The sequence below is a fragment of the Homo sapiens genome, chromosome 10 (genome assembly GCF_000001405.40).
Source record: "Homo sapiens chromosome 10, GRCh38.p14 Primary Assembly".
In the NCBI taxonomy this organism is placed as follows: Eukaryota; Metazoa; Chordata; class Mammalia; order Primates; family Hominidae; genus Homo; species Homo sapiens.
This window is the reverse complement of record NC_000010.11, coordinates 89,632,075-89,652,211: the sequence shown is the minus strand read 5'-3', so window position 1 is coordinate 89,652,211 and position 20,137 is coordinate 89,632,075. Positions and strand designations below refer to the sequence as shown.

At 42.5% G+C, this 20,137-nt stretch overlaps 1 protein-coding gene and 1 long non-coding RNA gene across 14 annotated transcripts in view, besides 3 other annotated features; one reads left to right on the top strand and one right to left on the bottom strand.

The window, feature by feature from the left end:
• Positions 1-50: 50 nt before the first annotated feature.
• On the bottom strand, positions 51-8,098 carry PANK1-AS1 (PANK1 antisense RNA 1). Of its 8 annotated transcripts, none has more exons than NR_184343.1 (5): positions 8,013-8,098; positions 3,191-3,289; positions 2,924-3,065; positions 1,981-2,153; positions 51-1,659 (listed from the first exon to the last, which is right to left on the bottom strand). It is a non-coding gene; the product is annotated as a PANK1 antisense RNA 1 (long non-coding RNA). The 8 variants fall into 8 exon arrangements; NR_184344.1 differs by having other exon boundaries at positions 3,214-3,289; NR_184350.1 differs by lacking the exon at positions 8,013-8,098 and adding an exon at positions 6,713-6,942.
• Positions 6,967-7,446: a silencer, noted in NCBI's record as "silent region_2594". NCBI's record gives its function as "represses an Ori minimal core promoter by ATAC-STARR-seq in GM12878 lymphoblastoid cells {active_cell/tissue: GM12878}" and the evidence as "EXISTENCE:reporter gene assay evidence [ECO:0000049][PMID:35858748]".
• Positions 6,970-20,137, top strand: part of PANK1 (pantothenate kinase 1) — a 65,748-nt gene continuing 52,580 nt past the window's right edge. For 2 of the 6 annotated variants that reach the window (NM_138316.4, NM_148978.3), the window contains exon 1: positions 8,296-8,515. In NM_138316.4, coding sequence (NP_612189.2) covers positions 8,488-8,515 — 28 coding nt within the window. In that variant the 5' untranslated portion in view covers positions 8,296-8,487. Of the gene's footprint in view, positions 7,613-8,295; positions 8,516-12,969; positions 13,064-17,182; positions 18,035-20,137 lie in introns of those variants that run through there. The other 4 variants (XM_017016334.2, XM_017016333.3, NM_148977.3 and 1 more) reach the window with 4 other exon arrangements.
• Positions 8,147-8,196: a silencer, noted in NCBI's record as "silent region_2593". NCBI's record gives its function as "represses an Ori minimal core promoter by ATAC-STARR-seq in GM12878 lymphoblastoid cells {active_cell/tissue: GM12878}" and the evidence as "EXISTENCE:reporter gene assay evidence [ECO:0000049][PMID:35858748]".
• Positions 15,467-15,968: an enhancer, noted in NCBI's record as "H3K4me1 hESC enhancer chr10:91396001-91396502 (GRCh37/hg19 assembly coordinates)". NCBI's record gives its function as "activates a minimal SCP1, AML or CMV promoter by ChIP-STARR-seq in primed H9 embryonic stem cells {active_cell/tissue: H9 hESC(primed)}" and the evidence as "EXISTENCE:reporter gene assay evidence [ECO:0000049][PMID:30033119]".

Below are 20,137 nucleotides of genomic sequence, written 5' to 3'. Positions count from 1 at the left end.
CCCTTTTTCCATGATCACACCATAGCTAATGTGGTTAAGCAGATAAAGACTTAGGCATGTTTGACTTTATTTTCACTTTAGCAAATAATTAGAATTTCTACCGTGAAAACATGCAATGACGTCATGGTAGAGAGGTTTTATCAGTGTGTCTTCAGAAAGTAACAATAAATTACAAGTCTGATGTAAAGTTATTAAAAACTAGGTTACAAACCCACATTGCAGACTTCCTTCTTTAATCAAGAGGAAACTATAAACCAAAAATAAAATTCTAAGCCCCTCAGCTGACTGAATGGATCCCCCTTGGCCAAAGGGATTCAAAAAAACACCTGAAAAACTAGTTCAGGCCATGATGGGAAAGAGGGGGTGAAACATGCCTCATTATACCCTCCTTCCTTTTGAGTTTAGACACAACTGACCAGAACTGACATTAAAACAGGAATCTTAAGACTGTCAAGACAAAATCTTGGTAGCAGTAAGACAACAGATTCCAATCTGACTCTGGTATAACATCACGTGACAGCCAGTGGGCCCTGAAGGAAATCAAATTATTTTACCTCAAATTATATTTCTTTACATATTTTGAAACGGCCCTGCCAAGCTGTCACTTGTGGGTGAAAAAATTATGTTCTGTAAAGATTCCCTTATTAGGTCTTTTCCAGAAAGTCTGACAATTTTTAAGGTCCAATAAAAGACATTCACATCTATTCTCGCTGAAGCCTGGAGGCTTCATATACATGATAAGAACGTTGGTTTCCACAAAGCACCCCCTTACCTTAATTTAAGCTGACATCAACTCTTGGGGCGGAGCTTAACTCTGTCAACAAACTGCCAATCAGGAAATCTTTGAATCCACTTATGACCTGGAAGCTCCTGCTTCTAGATGTTCCACCTCTCTGGGCCAAACCAATGTATACCTTGCATGTATTGATTTATGTCTTTGCCTGTAACTTCTGACTCCCTAAAATGTATAAAATGAAGCTGTACCCCAACCACCTTGGGTATATGTTCTCAGGGCCTCCTGAGGCTGTATGGGCAATGGTCCTTAACCTTGGCAAAATAATCCTCTAAAATTGAGACATGTCTCAAATACTTTTTGGTTTACAAAACCTTTCCCAGAATCCCCCAGGCTTTCCCTCATATTTCATTGGCCAGACAGTTCCTAAGTCAATCACAAACTTAGACCAATCAAAACTGCTCTCCTGAGACTGGGCCCGCTTCCCCAGGGAGTTTTACTGTCCATGGTCAACAAAAACTGGGACCTCTGAGCCAGGAACTAGGAACCTACTTTGAAGACAATCCCCACTGTCTGCTCCTATTCTACTCTGCAGCCTCAGCTTCTTCATCTCTACAATGAGGGGAAATTGCATCCTTCACTGACTCCACACACACTTTTTCAGCTCCCATTTTGTGTCCAGTACTGCGTTGAGTCCTGGGGATTCAAAGATTCCGTTCTTCTTGTTTGGGTAGCTGAGACCTATCAGAAGTGCTTCAGGGGCCAGGTATTTAAATTTATACATCTAAGTATATAAATTTATCCTACTTGCTTTCTAATTCAAACTTTTAATTTAAAACACACACACAGCTGGTCAAAATGAACACATTTTGGCTGGGGGGAGTGGGGGGATTTGGTTTCTTGTTTGCAGGTCCTTGAGGATTCCCCTGCCAAAAAAATTGCAATGAAACGTGTTAAGTGTAGTATTAGACTGAGATAGGCAAAGAGTGATATGGCTTACACCAGAGAGGCACCCAACCCAGCCTGGGAGTGATGCAGCTCAGGATGGAATGGGGATATGCTTAGATCTGCATGTTGAAACCACATCCCCAGCTGCACGACCTGGAAACATAGAAATCAGCCCAGCCACACCTCTCCCTTACCCTCCCATTGACCAAGTCCTATAGATTCTAAAATAATTCTTGAATCCACCCAGTGCTCTTATTCCAACTGCTGTGTCCTTCACTCAGTCCCTTATCACTTCTTACCTGTTTTTTTCCAGTAGTCTTCTTGGTCTCCCTGACTAGGGATCTCCTTCCCCAATCTCCTTTCTGAGGCTGCTGCTGAGGATCCTCCCACAATGAAAATCTAGTAGTTCTTATGCTGCCTAAAACTCTTCAGTAGTTTCCAATGGCCCTCAGTTAAAAGTCCAAACTCGTTCCTATGGGATAGAAAGCCATTTGAGATTTGGATCCTATTCAATTGAAACCACCTTTGCAAGAAATATAACAGTGAGAAAATTATGATAGTGAAAGAGATCTGATCTAACCAACTGCCATCTTGCCTTTACCCTCCAAACTGTCTTTAATCATTCCTGGGCTTGAGCCAAGCTAACTTTGGGAGACGTTTAGTTTATAGTTTAAATGATAGTAGCCCTTCCCCAAAACTAAACCATCTTTATAGGTTAGGCAGATAAGAGAAGCCTGAATTCTGCTAAAGTGTAGACATAAATGATTACTAGTCATTATTCCAGAAGTCACAAGATTTACAACTTTCACAAATACTCCTGCAGATAACATTACTATTGTAGAACCTAAGATTGGCCTTTTGAGATGTCTTTTCAGGGTTTTGCATTTTTGACAACCAGTGGCTCCACGTGGACCTGCCAACCCATCCTGTGGCCCCTCCCAGAGGCAGACTCAGCACATATGCAGAAGGACCATTTTCCACACTCCTATGATTGCATCCCCAGCCAATCAGCAGCACTCCATTCCCTGGACTGCCAAACTATCCTTGAAAAACCACAGCCTCTGAATTTTCAGGGTGACTGATTTGAGTAATAAAACCCCAGTCTCCTGTTCAGCTGGCTCTGCATGAATTAACTCTTTCTCTTTTGCAATTCCCCTGTCTTGATAAATCGGCTGTATCTGGGCAGCAGGTAAAATGAGCCTGTTGGTTGGTTACATAAACTTTTCAGCCATTACTGCTCACCTTCTCCCTTCTCAGGCTGCTCTTCAGCCTTGTGGAACTCCTGGCAGTTTCCCAAAAATGCCAGGTTGTTTCAAATGCACCCACAGAGTCTTGGCTCCTTCAGTTCTGAGTAGATTCTTTTAAACCTTCCCTCCCTATTCACCTGAAGAAAGGCCAATATTATTCAAAATTCAGTTTAAGGGTCATTTCCTCCCTGAAACCTGTTTTAGCTTCCACCTCAGCACCACTCCCCCATAAACCCCCACCCCTGACTCTGTCATTGCTCACTCTCTGGGGTCTTCTGGAGTTACCTCCCGCAGCATAGATGGCATACTTTGCTTCCTTCATTGTTTCTCCAAGCCATGATGATCATCTGCATCAAATCCCCTGTTTTTGAAAAAGTTATTTTTTTAATTTTAAAAATATTTATTATCATCTTCGTTATCATCATCATCACCTACTGATGAATCAGTCTATGGGAACTGGACCCAGAATCTGTGCTTACAAAATATCCTGGGTTGCAAGTTACACTGCATGTTCATTTTTTGCAAAATACCTTGAGCTTTATAAGATATGCATACTTTTCTGTATGTATGTTAGTTTTAATACAAATTTAAAAAGGAAAAATTCCCTAGGTTATTCTTACATAACACTGATGCTGGAGAATCACTGACTTTTCTCTCTCTACTGAATTGTAAGCCCTTTGAGGGCAGTGAAGCCATCTATTTTGTCTTTGTATTCCCAGCATGCTTTAGTGCCTACAACATAGTACACACAATAAATGATTATTAAATAAATGAATAAGACCCAAGGGAGTGCACTGGTTTGTGGGTTCCCTTCTCCCTCACTCTCTTCCAAACATTTGTTGCATGCCCCTCCTGGAGGACATGACAGCTCACGCCTCAAAGTTACACCTCCTACACACACCCCTGAATAAACCTGTGAGATGCCACCTGGCTTCTTCCCTACCATACGCTGGGTGTAACTGATCCAAGCACCCAGCCTGACAAGGGTAGGAGAAAGGAAGCAGGTGGAGGACGTTCTGTCCCAGTACCAGTACTTTTGCCCTGCCTGGGTCTGAGCCACCTGGCTCAGGCCTTCCTCAGCAGGCCTGGGAATCCAGCTAGAAAAAATATGTCCTTGGAGATATTGCAATGCTAAAGCTTCTATTTGCATCTCTGATGTAATTTGCTTCCTAAGCCACTCAGCTCAATTATGTGGGAATTTGAAAATGATATATTTGAATATTTAGGAGTGGCTGGTGATTTTTAGCAAATTTACAGTAGAAAGTGAGGGGGACTCTGTGTGAAATATCATCTAAGTCAGGGGTGTCCAATCTTTTGGCTTCCATGAGCCACACTGGAAGAGGAAGAATTGTCTTGGGCCACACATAAAATACACTAACACTAATGATAGCTAATGAGCTAAAAAAAAAAAAGTCACAAAAATAAATCTCATGTTTATGAATTTGTGTTGGGCCGTATTCAAAGCCGTCCTGAGCCGCATGCAGGCTGTGGGCCACAGGCTAGACAAGCTTGATATAAGTCATTTATCCAGTCACAAATAATTACCAAGTGCCTCCTAGGGATAGAGTGATGAACAAGTCATCTGCCTTAAAGATGCTTACAGTGAAGTGGGGTAAGATGGGCAATCAAATAATAATAATGTCTTTTTCTAGCACTTACAATGTGCTGGACACTTTACATATGTTAACCTTAAATAATGAGATTTAGAGAACATGATTAAGTATGAAGTTTGAGTGCAAAGCTTGAGGATAGCCACCTGGAAACACTAACTCCAAATGAGTGGGATCAGTGCTCCAAAGTGGAGAAGTTAAGATTTCACTTATACTGGCAGAGATGGAGAAGTTCCAGCAGAATTACATTTTCCATACAAGACCAATGCATATGCCACAGCGATTTGATTGGTTGCAGACTGCTGCATTCCAAGGAAGATTATTACTCTGTGAGGAGAGGCAGTGATCCAAGGGATTAGTATCTCTGGCCCTGCTCGGTCTTCCTAATTATTTACAAGGAAAAAAGGCAAGCCCAGGCATGGTGGCTCATTCCTATAATTCCAATACTTTGGGAGGCCAAGGTGGGAGGATCGCTTGAGCCCAGGAGTTGGAGGCTACAGTAAGCTACGACTGTGCCACTGCACTCCAGCCTGGGTGAAGGAGTGAGACCTTGTCTTAAAAAAAAAAAAAAAAAAAGCAGAAGTTGTAGCTGCATAGCCACATTTCTCTCAAGTCTCACAAAAAAGTTCCAATAGCTTGAAGTTTGAATTAATTTTACGCATGTGTTATGCATTTCATCAGTCTAACAACTCAGTGATGTCCTATTATTCTCAAGTTACAAATGAGGGAACAGATGCATGGTATAGTTACAAAATGATAAGGAGTCATAAACAGAGTACAAGGAGTAGGAAGAGGGTATGGCAGGGAGACCTAATGTAGCCCTAAGGGTCAGGGAACATTTCTCTAAATATGAGAAGTTAAAGAGGAGATCTAAAGTTGGAGTCTAGTAGACAAAAGAGGTCTTAGAGAAGAGACTTCTCTAAGGCAATGGAAACAGCAGAATGTTGTTTAAGGAATTGAAGGCAGCACAGGGAGCCCCTGATGAGGCAGGAGAGGTAGGGAGGGGCCAGATCACCTGGGTTTTTTTCTCTGTCTTTAAATAGCATAAGGTTAGGGAAGCTAAGAGAGTTGAGATTTGGAGTTTAGTCCCACCTTTGCTCTTAATAACCTCAGCCATCTGTCTGCAGCTCAGTTTCCTGATACGAAAAAAGTATGCAAGAGTGGATAGACCAGAGTGCTCCAGTGGCCCCCATGGTTCTCAAGCTCTGATTCTAGGTAAGGCTCTGCTGGAAGGAATTGCCAGATGCAAGCCCTAGATGCTGCTGAATGCACTGAAGCCCAGGGGCCCAGCAACCCAGTAGCCAGCCAGCACCTGCCAGACTCTGACTCCTCTGTAGATTAATTGCAAATCACGGAGAATATCACAAAATAAATCACACAATAAATACGGCTGTAAGCATGGTTTGTTCCCCTGTCGAAACAAAGGGTGAACTGCTAATCATAATAGCGTAATAAGGAAAACTAGCTTTCTGAGCATTTACTGTGTGCCAGGATTGTACCAGGTACTTTTAGTAGATTTTCTCACAACAGCCCCATTATGGATAGGAAAGTGAGGCCTCAAGAGATTGCATAACTTTGGGAAGGTATTCACCACCCAAATTAGTCCTGCATAGTGAGCATGGACAGTCCCGTTTCCTATTGCTAGAAGTGTTACCTTGAGCATTAACGTTATCTGGGTTTGCTCAGTGGCTGAGTTGGAATTTGAACCCAGTGCTAACTCCAAAGCTCGTAGTGCTGGTCACCACGTGATGCCGCCTTCCCTTCTTAGAAGAGGCAACTCCTTACTCTATAAATAACATGACATTGTCTTTTGAAGTCCTTTCTGGGTGAGGAAAGTGCTTTTTATAGCATGGAATTGCTCCTGTTTACTTGATCTCTTTCAGCACCGATTAATCCTGCCTACAGTTTTGTCCTTCACTGTCCTTACACTGTATTCCTAGGTTTCCTCCCTGCAAAAGACAACTCCATGAGACCACATGGTGTTTGAGTGTGTGTGCGTGCCAGCAAAGAAATTTCACTCCCCTCCCTCCCCAAGTCTGCCAACTTTTCTATAAATAATTGTTCTCCCTCCCCTCAGGCCTCTAAGTAGTTTGGTCACTTAACCAAACGCACAGGCACACACGCGCGCGCGCGTAAGCACACACTCACAAAGCGGGGAGGGTAACGTGAATGACCTTGCAAAGGTATCTTGCTCACTGGGGACAGGATTAGCAAACCTGACACCTCTGCAAATAATTGTCTTCCTCCCGTATTCCTCCTGAAACGGTTCGCTCCTTTCGCTGTCTCTCCCAGACCCATCTGGTTTTCACATCGCCATACAAAGCCCAACCCGCCCATCTCCTCTCTGCAAGCCCAGAGAACTTGATTCCCCATGTTGAAACTCGTCGGTGGCGGTGGCGGGCAGGACTGGGCATGCTCAGTGGCGGGGACCAGTCTGGGAGGCGAGGAAGCCGCGTTTGAAGTCGCGCGGCCTGGGGATCAGGGGAAGGCGGGCGGCGGGAGCCCCGGCTGGGGGTGCGCGGGGATCCCCGATTCCGCGCCCGGGGCTGGCGTGCTCCAGGCCGGCGCCGTGGGGCCGGCGCGCGGGGGGCAGGGCGCAGAGGAGGTGGGGGAGTCGGCAGGAGGAGGGGAGGAGCGCCGGGTTCGCCATCCCCAGGCGCCGGCTCTGCGGCTGCTGAATCGGAAGCCGCAGGGAGGATCCGGGGAAATAAAGACGCCGGAGAATGACCTCCAGCGAGGCCGCCTGAGCCGGGGCCCGCGCACAGCCCCGCCAGCCCCCGGCATGGGCGACCGCAGCGGGCAGCAGGAGCGCTCGGTCCCGCACTCTCCAGGGGCCCCCGTGGGCACCAGCGCCGCCGCTGTGAACGGGCTGCTGCACAACGGCTTCCATCCGCCGCCAGTCCAGCCGCCGCACGTCTGCAGCCGGGGTCCAGTGGGCGGCAGCGACGCGGCGCCCCAGCGCCTCCCGCTCCTGCCGGAGCTGCAGCCGCAGCCACTGCTCCCTCAGCATGACTCCCCGGCCAAGAAATGCCGGCTGCGGAGGAGGATGGACTCGGGGAGAAAGAACAGGCCGCGTAAGTCCCGCTGGGAGGGGAGCGCGGGCGCAAGGCAGACGCAGCGTGCGGGGCCCGGGACTGGGAGCGGCTGAGGCAGGCGCCGCAGCACGCCCCGTGCGCCCCCGCGTCTGCGGTCGAGGGACTGCACAGAGTAGGTTCCCGGGACTGATTCTTTTCCTAGGGGACATCAAGCACTACAGGTCTTTGCCTGAGCCTGCCCTTTGCTCGCTTCTATCAGTAGAACGAGGATTGGACACGAAGCTTGAGCGGGTCCCTAGGTCAAGGATATATAATAAGCGAACGCTCTGTCCGCCCTTCTAATTGGTGGCTGGGAAAACGCAGGTGTGTGAACATTTGCTGGGGTCCAGGAGTGAGGATAAAGTGGGCGGCACACCGAGGGTGCTCTCTCCTTTCTCACCCCTCTCGCTTCTCTGAGCGCGTCCTACTGGGGTTGCCTGCCCTTTGAATCACAGAGTAGCCAGCAGCGTCTCGGGTCTATTGGAGAGCGCAAGTCTGGAGGCGTGGAGTTTAACTACCCCCCAAAATCACAGCCTATTAGAAGCTGTTTCTTCACGGCCAATGAGAGGGTTTTTTGGGAGGGACACACCCACTGATACCATGTGGGCCGGAACTATGTGGACCAATGAGGATTGGAGGTGGATTTTTTTTTTCAACGAAGGGGGAGGTTGAGTTGAGGGTTTGTAATTGTAATGTACACCGGAGAAAGCCGAAGTGCATTATTTCACAATCTAAAGCTTGTATATATAATGGTAGTTTGTAAAGTGTACCTTCCCCACAGGACGCTGTGGGATGTAAATTTGTAGGTCGAGTTTACAGCTGGTTTTTCTTGACTGAAGCTCATTCAACTGGTTACTTCTTTGTGGGTGTCTTTAATGAAGCTTATAAATGGCAAAAAGCAAAGTAAGTACAGTAAATGCTAATAAATGACTGCATTTGCATAGAGGTTATGCTGTTCGATATAGGGAAATTGTTAAGTAGGTTTTGGATTTCTGTGAAAGTTTAATGTTTGGCAAATAACACCTTCACTTTTCCCTGTTTCTATGTCTTTTTGACTCTTAGCTTTTCTGTATTGGATTAAGGTTTCTAAGACCTTGGAAAGCCCTTTGACATGACTGTGGGTGACTCTGGTACTTGTATTTTGTGGGTTTGAAATGTTAAATTTGTAGGTTAAGATTTTGTGTGGAACTTTAAAGCCAAACAGCAGATTTGGCTACAGTTGTAAGGTGTAAGGTTGTAATCTAGCACCTGAATTTTTATTTGCTTTTGTTTTTGATACTTGTTAGAAAATGACTTTCATTAGTATTAATATTTTAAAAGTCAGGACTTAATATTGATTACCTGTGATTTATAAACCTGTTTCACTTATTTTGAAGCTATACTTCAGTTATTTCTCTTATCTACATTGACAGATTGTACTAGAGTTTGCAATGAAAATAGCTAAAATATAATGAAAGGGAGCTTCTAGCTTAATCTTCTATGTTTAATTGAGGATATAACACCTCTTGAAATAACTTCTGAGGAATTGAAAATACACCCTCTAGGAATATCTTGAAGACAGAGAAAAACTAACCTGAGCCTTAACTTGTGCTTGCAAACCCACAGAAATTATTTTAAAATACAAGAAAATGTAACTATCTGCCTGTGTGCTTTGTATCAGAAATTAAAGTGGTTTATGTTTCTTACAGAATAAAAATCCTAGTTGTTTTAAGTTTCATGACCACGATTGTTACTTATAATTTTTAAAAAACGGTTCGTCAAAATTGGATTTACATTATTTACCATGTTTTCTTCTCTCAGATTTGAACAATCATGTCTGAAATAAATTTTACATGTTCCTAGGAGTCACATCTGGCCTTTTCACTACCAAAATTTCTTAGTTAAAAATGGCTTAACTTAATATCTTTGTGCCTTGCCTATTGACATTCACATATCTTTATAAAAAGAATATTGTCCAATCAGTTGATATTTAGTTACTCTAAGAGGAATTAGGTACTCTAAGAGGAATATTTAGGTACTCTGTGAGTATTTACATACTCTAAGCTTATTCCTATTTGCTGATGACTGACAGATTTTACAGGAACGATTTTTGCAAAGAGTAGTTGTGTGCTTTAAACGCAAACTTTAGTGTGTGCTGGTGGCGAAGCATCAAGCTAGACACATAATTATTTCCTCCTGGTCAGTTACAACAGTTTGGCCTCTGTCCCAACAAGATGTGTGTTAAGATAGCCAGTGTTAACACTTGTAAATGCACCTGGAATGCATGTGTGGATAGGTGTGTTTCTATTTTGTAGTATTGTAGGTAAAGGACAATACACATTAAAATACTTCATGTTTGAAAATGATGGATGGAATAAAACAGATCAGTATTTTTAGATTATTTAACAAATTTTAATCTGACCTCTCAGTGCCGAGACTATTCACCATCCTACAATCTAAAAGTCAGACCAGTGGCAGGTTAATTTTGCTAAACCAGGAAAGGAGAATGTTGTCCACTCTTTTCATCTAAAGTGCCATCACCTCACTCTACTTATTCTTGGAAGGCTTTTCTTAGACTATCTACTTACTATCAGGTTTCCTTAGGTACTTTACCCACCTCTGCTACTTAGCAGCAGTGTGATCTTAACCAAGTTACCAAGTCACATCTTGAACTGCTGGAGCTAGGCTAGGTGATCTCCAAGTGCTGTTTCCTGTACCTTCAGAATTCTATGACACTTCAGAGCTGACAGTTCTTCCTACTAGATGATACTAGTTATCTGCTGTGCCACTGATTTAACATTTAATTGTGAATGGACTTTTTTGCCTTGTGCTGATTTTTTTTTATTTTATTTATTTATTTATTTATTTATTTATTTATTTATTTATTTTGAGACGGATTCTCGCTCTGTCGCCGAGGCTGGAGTGCAGTGGCACGATCTTGGCTCACTGCAAGCTCCGCCTCCTGGCTTCACGCCATTCTCCTGCCTCAGCCTCCCAAGTAGCTGGGACTACAGGCGCCCACCACCACGCCCAGCTAATTTTTTGTATGTGAGTATCATCTGAAGGGCTCAAGGGCATGTGCTACCTTATGTGTGGCAACAGGCAGGAATAATGAGTAGATGCATGCAGTCAGCCTTCTGGTCGGAGGTTCTGACTTCTCAAATCATCCAGATAGCAGAAAATGAGTGAGAGTTCATTATGCAGGTAGCATACTGGTGGGTACAGACTGAAAAACCCCAAATCTGTTACCAGTTTTAGCCATCATTGTGAAAGTATAAGGCTTTAATTTCCTAAATATTGGGATGTTTAGCTTTGGAACTTGGACTTTACATTACCCTTGAATTGGGCTAATTAGAAAAACCAGTATAAAAAAGATAAATAAGGAAAATTTTCTGGTTGTATCTGCATAGAGTATGGATGCATACAGTATTTTTAACAATTAATTTTAACATAATCAATACTTCTACATGGATAAGAGACATTGCAAGTTCAAAAACAAAAGACTAAAAGGGAAAGCAGGAGCACACTCTAGTATTGCTACCTTCTAGAGTGTGGTCAAATTCCCAAGTTTGTCAATTAAGCTATGAATTGTACAATACACATTTGAATTGATGATTAATAATTTAAGGCCCAAGTGTCCAGTGTCCAACTGGTTAAGGATCAGGATTCTATTAAGCATACAAACACTGCTTTTCCTCCAAAAGACCAGTAAGTGAGTTTCAACATTAATATAATACAAAGCATATTTTATTTGGCATGGTGACCAAAGACAGGAACAGTGTTGTTGGTTCTTGATATGTGAGACATTTAACAAGTGACTAAAAACCTTTCATGGTTTTGGAGACAGAATAAGTAGGGGAAACAAATAAGTATTGGTTTTAACTGACAGGCTGTTTTGTCTGTGTGGGATAGCCTGCATTTTAATATTTTGTGTGTATATATGTTAAGTATGAGCCAATTATCATGAAAATTAATCAGGGCTTGACTTCTAATATATTTAACTACATATGCTTTAGGTTTAATAGGTAAGCCAGTATTCATCTTGGGACCTTGGGATGACAAGTATTTAGTGTATCCACTGTGGCATACAGAATTTCTAAGTAGACCTTTTCTCTAGATAGTGCAGCTGTCAAGCTTGGTATCTCTTTACTTAATTTATGACACCTTTTAAATGCCTAGAGTTGTTGGGTAATCGTGTGTGTGTTTGTGTGTGTGTGTGTGTGTGTGTATTCTCTCCTTGAGAGTACATTTGAGAGTAGTAGATGATTCAAAGGGGCAAAGAAATATTATTTAAAGAGAATTACATCAAAACAATGACCTGAACCTCTAACAGATTTCTCTGTTGTTAGGAAAGAAGGTGGAAAAAGTCATGACAGTAGCTTCGATTTACCCAGTAATGAAAGTAGCTATTATTGAGTGACATCTCTGTGTCCATTGTTCTGTATGTGCTTTTACAAAAGCATGCAGTTCCCACTCCTACTCTCTATTTTAAAGATGGGCAAAGAGAGGCTCAAAGAAGTAAAGCAACCTGTCCAAAGACCTGTTATCAGTGAATGACAGGGCCAAAATTGTAACCCAAGTCTATCTTCCTTGCCAACTGGCTTTGTTTTCTATCACAATAAGCCTATTATTTATGTTGGGAAAAAAAAGTGTGTTCTGTAAAACTTTCGGAAAAGATAGGTCCATGTAATCTGTACACCTTTGGCAAAATGCTCATCCATGTGTCTGTGGAGGTAACAGTGGCCAACATTGAGGAGCACTTACTATGTGCTAGGCACTAAGTTAGACACATGGATTCTCTCATCAAATACTCCCAGCAGCCTGTGAGATAGGGGCTGTCATTCTCTTCCTTTTACAAATGAGGAAACTGAGGGCTCAGGACTCAGGGTAAAACTATTTAAGATTTTGACTTTGCTGGGCAGGGCCCTAGTGGGTTCCATGAAGCAAGTGTGGGTAGGGTTCTGTGGTGTAAAGAGCTTTGTTGCCACCAGGCCTGGATTCAGGTCCGCATTTCCTACTTACTAGCAATGAAGCCTTAGGTGAGATTCTTAACTTCCTCAAGGCTCACTGTTGAATAGAGATAATGGTGGCCATCTTATCAGTTGTAGTAAGAACCCAATGTGGAAAATGTATATCAAGTATAGTACCATGCCTGGACCCTAGTACATGCATAGTAAAAGATATCTTACTATTTACCACGGTTTGAATGTGTCCCCCAGAACTCATGTGTTGGAAATGTAATCTCCAATGCAACAGTGTTAGAAGGTGGGGCTTAATGGGGGATGTTTAGGTCATGAGGGCTTCACCCTCATGTATGGGTTAATGCCAATTGTAAAAGGACTTGAGGCTGCAAGTTCAATCTCTTGCCCTTTCTCAAGCATGCTCTTTTGCCTTTCTGCCATGGGATGATGCAGCAAGAAGGCCTTCACCAGATGCAGTCCCTCGATCTTGGACTTCTCAGCCTCCAGAACTGTAAGCCAAATAAATTTCTGTTCATTATTAATTACCCAGTCACAGGTATTCTATTATAGCAACACAAACTGGACAAAGACAGAAAACTGGTACTGAGAAATGGGGCTGTTGCTATAACAAATACCTGAAAATGTGAAAGCGGTTTTGGAACTGGGTAACAGGTAGAGGCTGGAAGAATGTGGGGAAGCAGGCTATGAAAAGCCTATGTTGCTATGAAAAGCCTATGTTGCTATGAACAGAGCATTAAATGTGGTTCTGGTGAAGGCTGAGAAGAGGAGGAGAGCTGTAGTAAAAGTCTAAATCTCCTTAGAGATTACTTATGTGATGGTGATGAGAATGTTGGTAGAAATAAGAGCAATAAAGGCAATTCTGATGAGATCTCAGATGGAAAAGAGGAATAAGGTATTGGAAAGTGGAGTAAGGACCAGCCTTGTTATGAAGTGGCAAGGAATTTGGTTGAATTGTGTCTACACCCTAGGCTTTATGGAAGGCAGAATGTAAGAGCAATAAACTACGATATTTGATGGAAGAAATTTCTAAGCAAAATATTAACTGCATACAGGAAAATAAGAGAGAAATGACTTAAAGATAAAATTTATAATTAAAAAGGAAACAGAATTTAGGGATTTGAAGGATTCTCATCCTGGCCATGTGGTAGAGAATGAAAGAACATTTTCAGGAGAGAAGACCAAGGGTGTGGGCAAGCAACCAGTTGATAAGGAGATCAGTAGGGATAGAAGGAAGCCAGAGGCTGTTCATTAGGACAATGGAAGAATGACTCTGAAGGCATTTTGGAAATTACTGGTGCTGTCCCTCCCATCACAGGCACAGGGTGCCATGACCTCGGAGAAGGAAATACAGTCATGCCCCACATATAGACCTTTTCACCAAGGAAGGAGCACATATACAAAGGTAGTCCTATAAGATTATAATGGAACTGAAAAATTCTTATTGCCCAGTGGTATCATAACCATTGAACATCATAACTCAATGTGTTGCTCATCTGTTTTTGATGATGATGGTATAAACCTACTGGCTGCTAGTCATATAAAAATATAGCACACACAATTATGTATAATACATAATACCTTCTAGTGGGACAAGATGTGGGTGTGGAAGACCGTGATATTGATGACCCTGACTTTGTGTAGACCTAGGTTAATGTGTGTGTTTGCATCTTTGTTTTTAACAAATAAGTTTAAAAAGTAAAAAAAAAAACTAAAAAATTTTAAAAATAGAAAAAAGCTTGTAGAATGAGAATATAAAGAAAATATTTTTGTACACCTATACAATATGTTTGTGTTTTAAGCCAAGTGTTATTACAAGAGTCAAAAAATTTTTAAAATTAGAAAGTTTATAAAGTAAAACTGTTATAGTAAGCTAAGTATAATTGATTACTGAAGAAATAAATTTCTTTTTATAAATTTAGAGTAGCCTAAGTGAACAATGTTTGTAAAGTCTACAGTGTGTACAGTGATGTCCTAGGCCTTCACATTTACTCACCACTCACTCACCCAGAGCAACTGTCAGTCCTGGAAGCTCTTGTATGTGCCCTATACAGGTATGCCACGTTTTGTCTTTTAGACTGTACTTTTACTGTACCTTTTCTATGTTTAGGTATGTTTAGATACACAAATACTAACCATTGTTACAATTGCCTATAGTACTAAGCACAGTAACATGCTGTACAGGTTTACAGCTTAGGAACAATAGGGTTTACCATATAGCCTAGGTCTGTAGTAGGCTATAGCGTCTAGGGTTGTGTAAGTACACTCTATGCTGTTTGCACAATGACAGAATTGCCTAATGACACTTCTTTTCTCTGAAAATACCCGTCATTAAGTGACGTATGACTGTATATCAAAAGAGAGAACTAGTGTGCCCTCTGGATCTTGGAGTTCACTTCTCAGGGCTGCCTGAAGTCTCTGCTTGCCACATTTCATTACAGTGCTTCTTGCTCACCCCACCTGTGGCTCAACGGTGCTCAGGTGGGCCGGGTGCGGTGGCTGACGCCTGTAATCCCAGCACTTTGGGAGGCCGAGGCTGGTGGATCAGAAGGTCAGGAGATCGAGACCATCCTGGCTAACACGGTGGAACCCCGTCTCTACTAAAAATACAAAATAGCCAGGCGTGGTGGCGGGCGCCTGTAGTCCCAGGTACTCGGGAGGCTGAGGCAGGAGAATGGCATGAACCCGGGAGGCGGAGCTTGCAGTGAGTCGAGATCGCGCCACTGCACTGTAGCCTGGGCGACAGGGAGAGACTCTGTCTCAAAAAAAAAAAAGAGGGGTGCTCTGGTGTGGCTCAGGCCACAGCTTTGGAATGTGCAAGCAGCAAATCTTGGTGGCATCCATGTGGTGTTAAGTCTACAGACATGCAGAGTACACGACTTGTGGAGGCAGGCTGGGTGCGGTGGCTCATGCCTGTAATCCCAGCACTTTGGGAGGCCAAGGCAGGCGGATCACGAGGTCAGGAGATCGAGACCATCCTGGCTAACACTGTGAAACACCGTCTCTACTAAAAATACAAAAAATTAGCCAGGCATGGTGGCATGCGCCTGTAGTCCCAGCTACTCGGGAGGCTGAGGCAGCAGAATCGCTTGAACCCACGAGGTGGAGGTTGCAGTGAGCCAAGATCGCACCACTGCACTCCAGCCTGGGTGACAGAGTAAGACTCCATCTCAAAAAATAATAATATGAGGCAGGAGAATGGCGTGCACCCCGGGGGGCCGAGCCTGCAGTGAGCTGAGATCGCGCCACTGCAAGCCAACCTGCACTCCAACTCCATCTCAAAAAAAATAAAAATTAAAAATAATAATAATAATAATAATAATAACTGTGGATGCATGGCTTTCTCCAGCTAGATTCCAAAGAATGTCATAGACAGCCTGATGGCCCAGGCAGACACGTGTTGCAAGGGTGGAGCAACCCAGAGGGCCCTTACTAGGGCAGTGTGTGGCATAACTTTAGGGTAGGAGCTACCGCAGAGAGTCTCCTAGAGCAATGCCTAGTAAAGCCTAAGGAGTGGGCTCACACCAACACCCCAGAACTCTAGACCTACCAGCATGAAATACTAGCCAGGAGAGCCACAGGCACCTGACACCAACCTGTGAGAGCTGCTGCATGGGTAGCACCAAACAAAGCTGTAGGGGTAGGCCTGCCTACCTGAGGCCTTGGGGGCCCAACTGCTGCTCCAGTGTTCCCAGATGGTAGGATGTGGAGTCAAGGAAGATTACTCTGGAGCCTTAAGATTTAGTGTTGTTTGCCCTGTTGGGTTTTGGATTGACTTAAGACTATCCCTTTCTTCTTGCCTATTTGTGTCTTTTGGAATGGGAATGTCTATCCTTTGCCTATTCCACCATTGTATTTTGGAAGTAAGTAACTTGTTTGATTTCACAGGCTTACAGCTAGAGGGAAGTGTCCCTCAAGATGAATCCTGCCTTGAATCTCATCCATATCTGATTCAGATGAGACTGTGTACATTGAACTTCTGAGCTGATGCTGGAAAGTTATGACTTTTGGGGCTATTGCATGACATGAATGTGTCTTTTATGTGAGAAGAACATGAATTTGGGGAGCCAGGGTGGAATGCTGTGGTTTAAATGTGTCCCCCAGAAAGCACGTGTTGAAAATCCCCAGTGTAACAGTGTTGGGAGATGAGGCCTAATGGGAGGCATTTAGGTCATGAGGGCACCATCCCCATGAATGATTAATGCCATTATAAAAGGGTTTGAGGCTGTGAGTTCACTCTTTTGCTCTCTTGTGCACACATGCTCTTTTGCCCTTTTATGCTTCTATCATGGGATGATGCAGCAGGAAGGTCCTTGCCATATGCAGCCCCCCAATCTTGGCCTTACTAGCCTCTAGAATTGTGAGCCCGATAAATTTCTGTTCATTACAAATTACCCAGTCTGAAGTGTTCTGTTATAGCAGCACAAAATGGACTAAGACACTATTAATACCAGTCTTATTTATATTAATAGAGGACATTTTATCTCTCTCTCTCTCTATATATATATATATATTTGCTAAATGATCAACCATGTAGACATTTAATATTAATATCATTGCTGTTATTTAATTACAGAGGCTTCCAAGACTCTGAAATACCAGGATTTCCACAAACTCATCTTGCCCTGACTGGGAATCTTTCGGAGATTGGATTTCAGAGTATTCCCCAACCTGATCGGATATCACCTCCTCAATGGAAGCTTCCCTAATACCCTCTGATGTTTCTAGAAGCAGGACACATGGCTTGTGTCATAAGTCTTGACCTGATTATCATAGATTGCCTCACCAAGTTTAGCATACCCTGTCTGAGAGTGATGCTGGCAAATTAGTGAATAAGAGGACTGTGGAATTTATTTGATTGCTAATCTTGTGTCAGGACATGGTTATTTTTTAAAAAAGAAGTGTCCTCTTTTGATCTTAACTGTTTGATATCTCAGCCCTTGAGTGAGGCAGTTATATGCAAAGGAGATGAGAAGGATGAGAAAAGTGAGTACTTTTCCTTCATAAAAGCCACATGAATTGAACAAGACTTCAGAATTCAGAAGAACTACATCAAGTTCTTGGGTCATTTTTTTAACCCATTCTCCAAGAATTGAAAAAATGACCTTGCAAATATGTGCAAGACTCTGGAATCTTCCTTTGGCAGATGATGAATGAGATGAATATTTCCAGGTGCTTGCCTTCAGCACCAGCACATGTACATTCTAGTACTCTTGGCCTTGATCCTACACTGAATCTGAGGGTGCAAGGACTTTAGATAGAGGCTCAGGACAGACTGGACCTGTATGAACTTCTGAATTGTAGCTAGCCTGGGCAGCCAGTTACTTGGATCCCTCTGGGGCTTCTGGACAAACAACTCTTTTATAGCCCAAGGTAGATGGTCAGGGGCGACCAGAGAGAGCAATAGATTCGTTGACTTCAAGCTTAACATGAGTTAGCAGTATGGTGAGGCTTCCAGCAAAATGTAAGCACTCAATAAATGTTAGCTATTATTACTGTGGTGGTGTTAGATGTTCTTCCTTATACTAACTCAAAATCTGTCTCCCTATAACTTCTACCCCATGGTCCTTGACAATTCAGTATATCTAATTCATCTTCTACATAACAGCTCACGAGGTATTTAAAGATAGCTATCTTATCTTGACTCTTTTTTTGGGTTCTCCTCTTTGAAGAACCAAGACCAATATTCTTGCCTGCCAGATTCTACCCATGTGACCCAGTGCAGGTTGTATTGGGTTGCTGACAAGTATTTAAGCAAGATTGGAGGATGACTTCTTGGGGTAGTCATAAAGGAGATCAAGTAAGTATTGACCTGGGTTGCCTTGAACTCTGAGATTTAATGATTCCCATTAAACCTACAGGGACTAACCAGTTTTTAATTTATTTGGGCTAGGCACTGTGCTAGACTCTGCATGTGATATTTGGTTTCATGTGACTTTAAGCTAGAGTGTAACCTGAAGCCAGCTGTGTGGCTTGATTTCTTCACTCAGATGCTGTAATAGCTCCAGAAATCACTAAACCCTGTGTGTGAGTCAGTACTTGAACATTAGTGGAACCTGTTTACTATTCATACTCTCCCAACTACCTATGTTTGATTTAAAAAAAAAAATTAAAGGGCTGTTAATGTTTTTAGGGTGTTCCATACTAGGAAGTTAGTGTACATTTGACTAAGGAGATAATCAGATCTTCTTACCTTTTATGGAAGGTCTTATCCTTTTTTGTGGAAGGTTTTTACTTTGAGAAAGGGTCCCAAAGTGATTTATTCTTTGGGGTGATCATGTAATATTTCATTAACACTTTTAAAGAGTGGTAGGGGTACCATTAATTATGCTAGGACCACAGATATAGGCTGGGATTATCCTAGCAAACCAGGCATCTCAGCGTTGTGCTAAAGCCAACTTATACAGGCTATGGGTGTTGTTTATACACATGACTTCCCAACTCTGCATTTCAGTATCCTTATGCTGATAACTTGAAACTGGCCATCATGGATATATATATATATACACCGTGGAAACTGGCAAACACTGAAAATCAGGGCTTTATTTTCAGAGAACCAGTTGTTAAACATTTACCAGTACACAGTGACTGGGACACAGTTCACAGAAGAAGCTCAGAGAAAAGTCCCAGCAGGTATCAGTAATACTAATTGAATTATTGATGCATTTGAGGTAGAGAAGGGGAGTAAAGGTCAACATGTCCTTTGCTAAGTAGGACAATGTCTGAAGATGAGAAGTTTGATGAGGGAGGCTTATTCTCAGGAAAGAAAGTATTCTACAAATACTTCAGGGGTCACTGTGGTTGGTATGAGGGTAGAATTTCTTTGGAATCACATCGTTATTTTCCTCCCTTCCTGCCTCCTAAATTCCTACTGTAAATGTAGTTGGGCTTAGTGCTGGATTACCCAGCAGGTAGACCAAGCAGGTGTTAACAATTCCATCAATGCTAGCAGAAGAAAATAATACATGTGCTTTTATGTGTATGGATATGTAGACATGCATGCACTTAAGTATTAATCATGGGAAAATTATAAATTTGGACTTACACTTATTTCATAATTCATTATTGTTTTTGTTTTTTAATGACTTCAGTTATTTTGAGTTATTTGTTCATTGTGGATTGAGGAACACCAAATTTTTTTTTTCTTAAATAGATATAAACCTGGCCTTAGTTGAGGCTTGTACCTTTCTAGGGTGATTTATAATTTATTTATTGCTGCTGAAATGTCAGGGTGGAGTTGCCAGAATATTTTCATTATATGTTTATGGTTAGGATAAGTAGACTGAAGTTTGTCCTAGCTAAAGGGAAAACAGTTTGATATATTTGGTTCCATAAGCAGGATCTGTGTGGCAAAAAAGGGACTTCCCAAATTCAGACTCATGGTTTTTATTCCAAAAGTCACTGTGTTCCACTTGTCCTCTTATTGTCCTGAGTGAGCGTTTTGGAAAGTGTTGGGATTTTAACAACTTTTTCTGCATTTTAAACATTATACAAAACTAGAGAATATAGCATAATGAACTGCCAAGTACTTATCACTCAGCTTCTATAATTATCAAATCATGTCCAA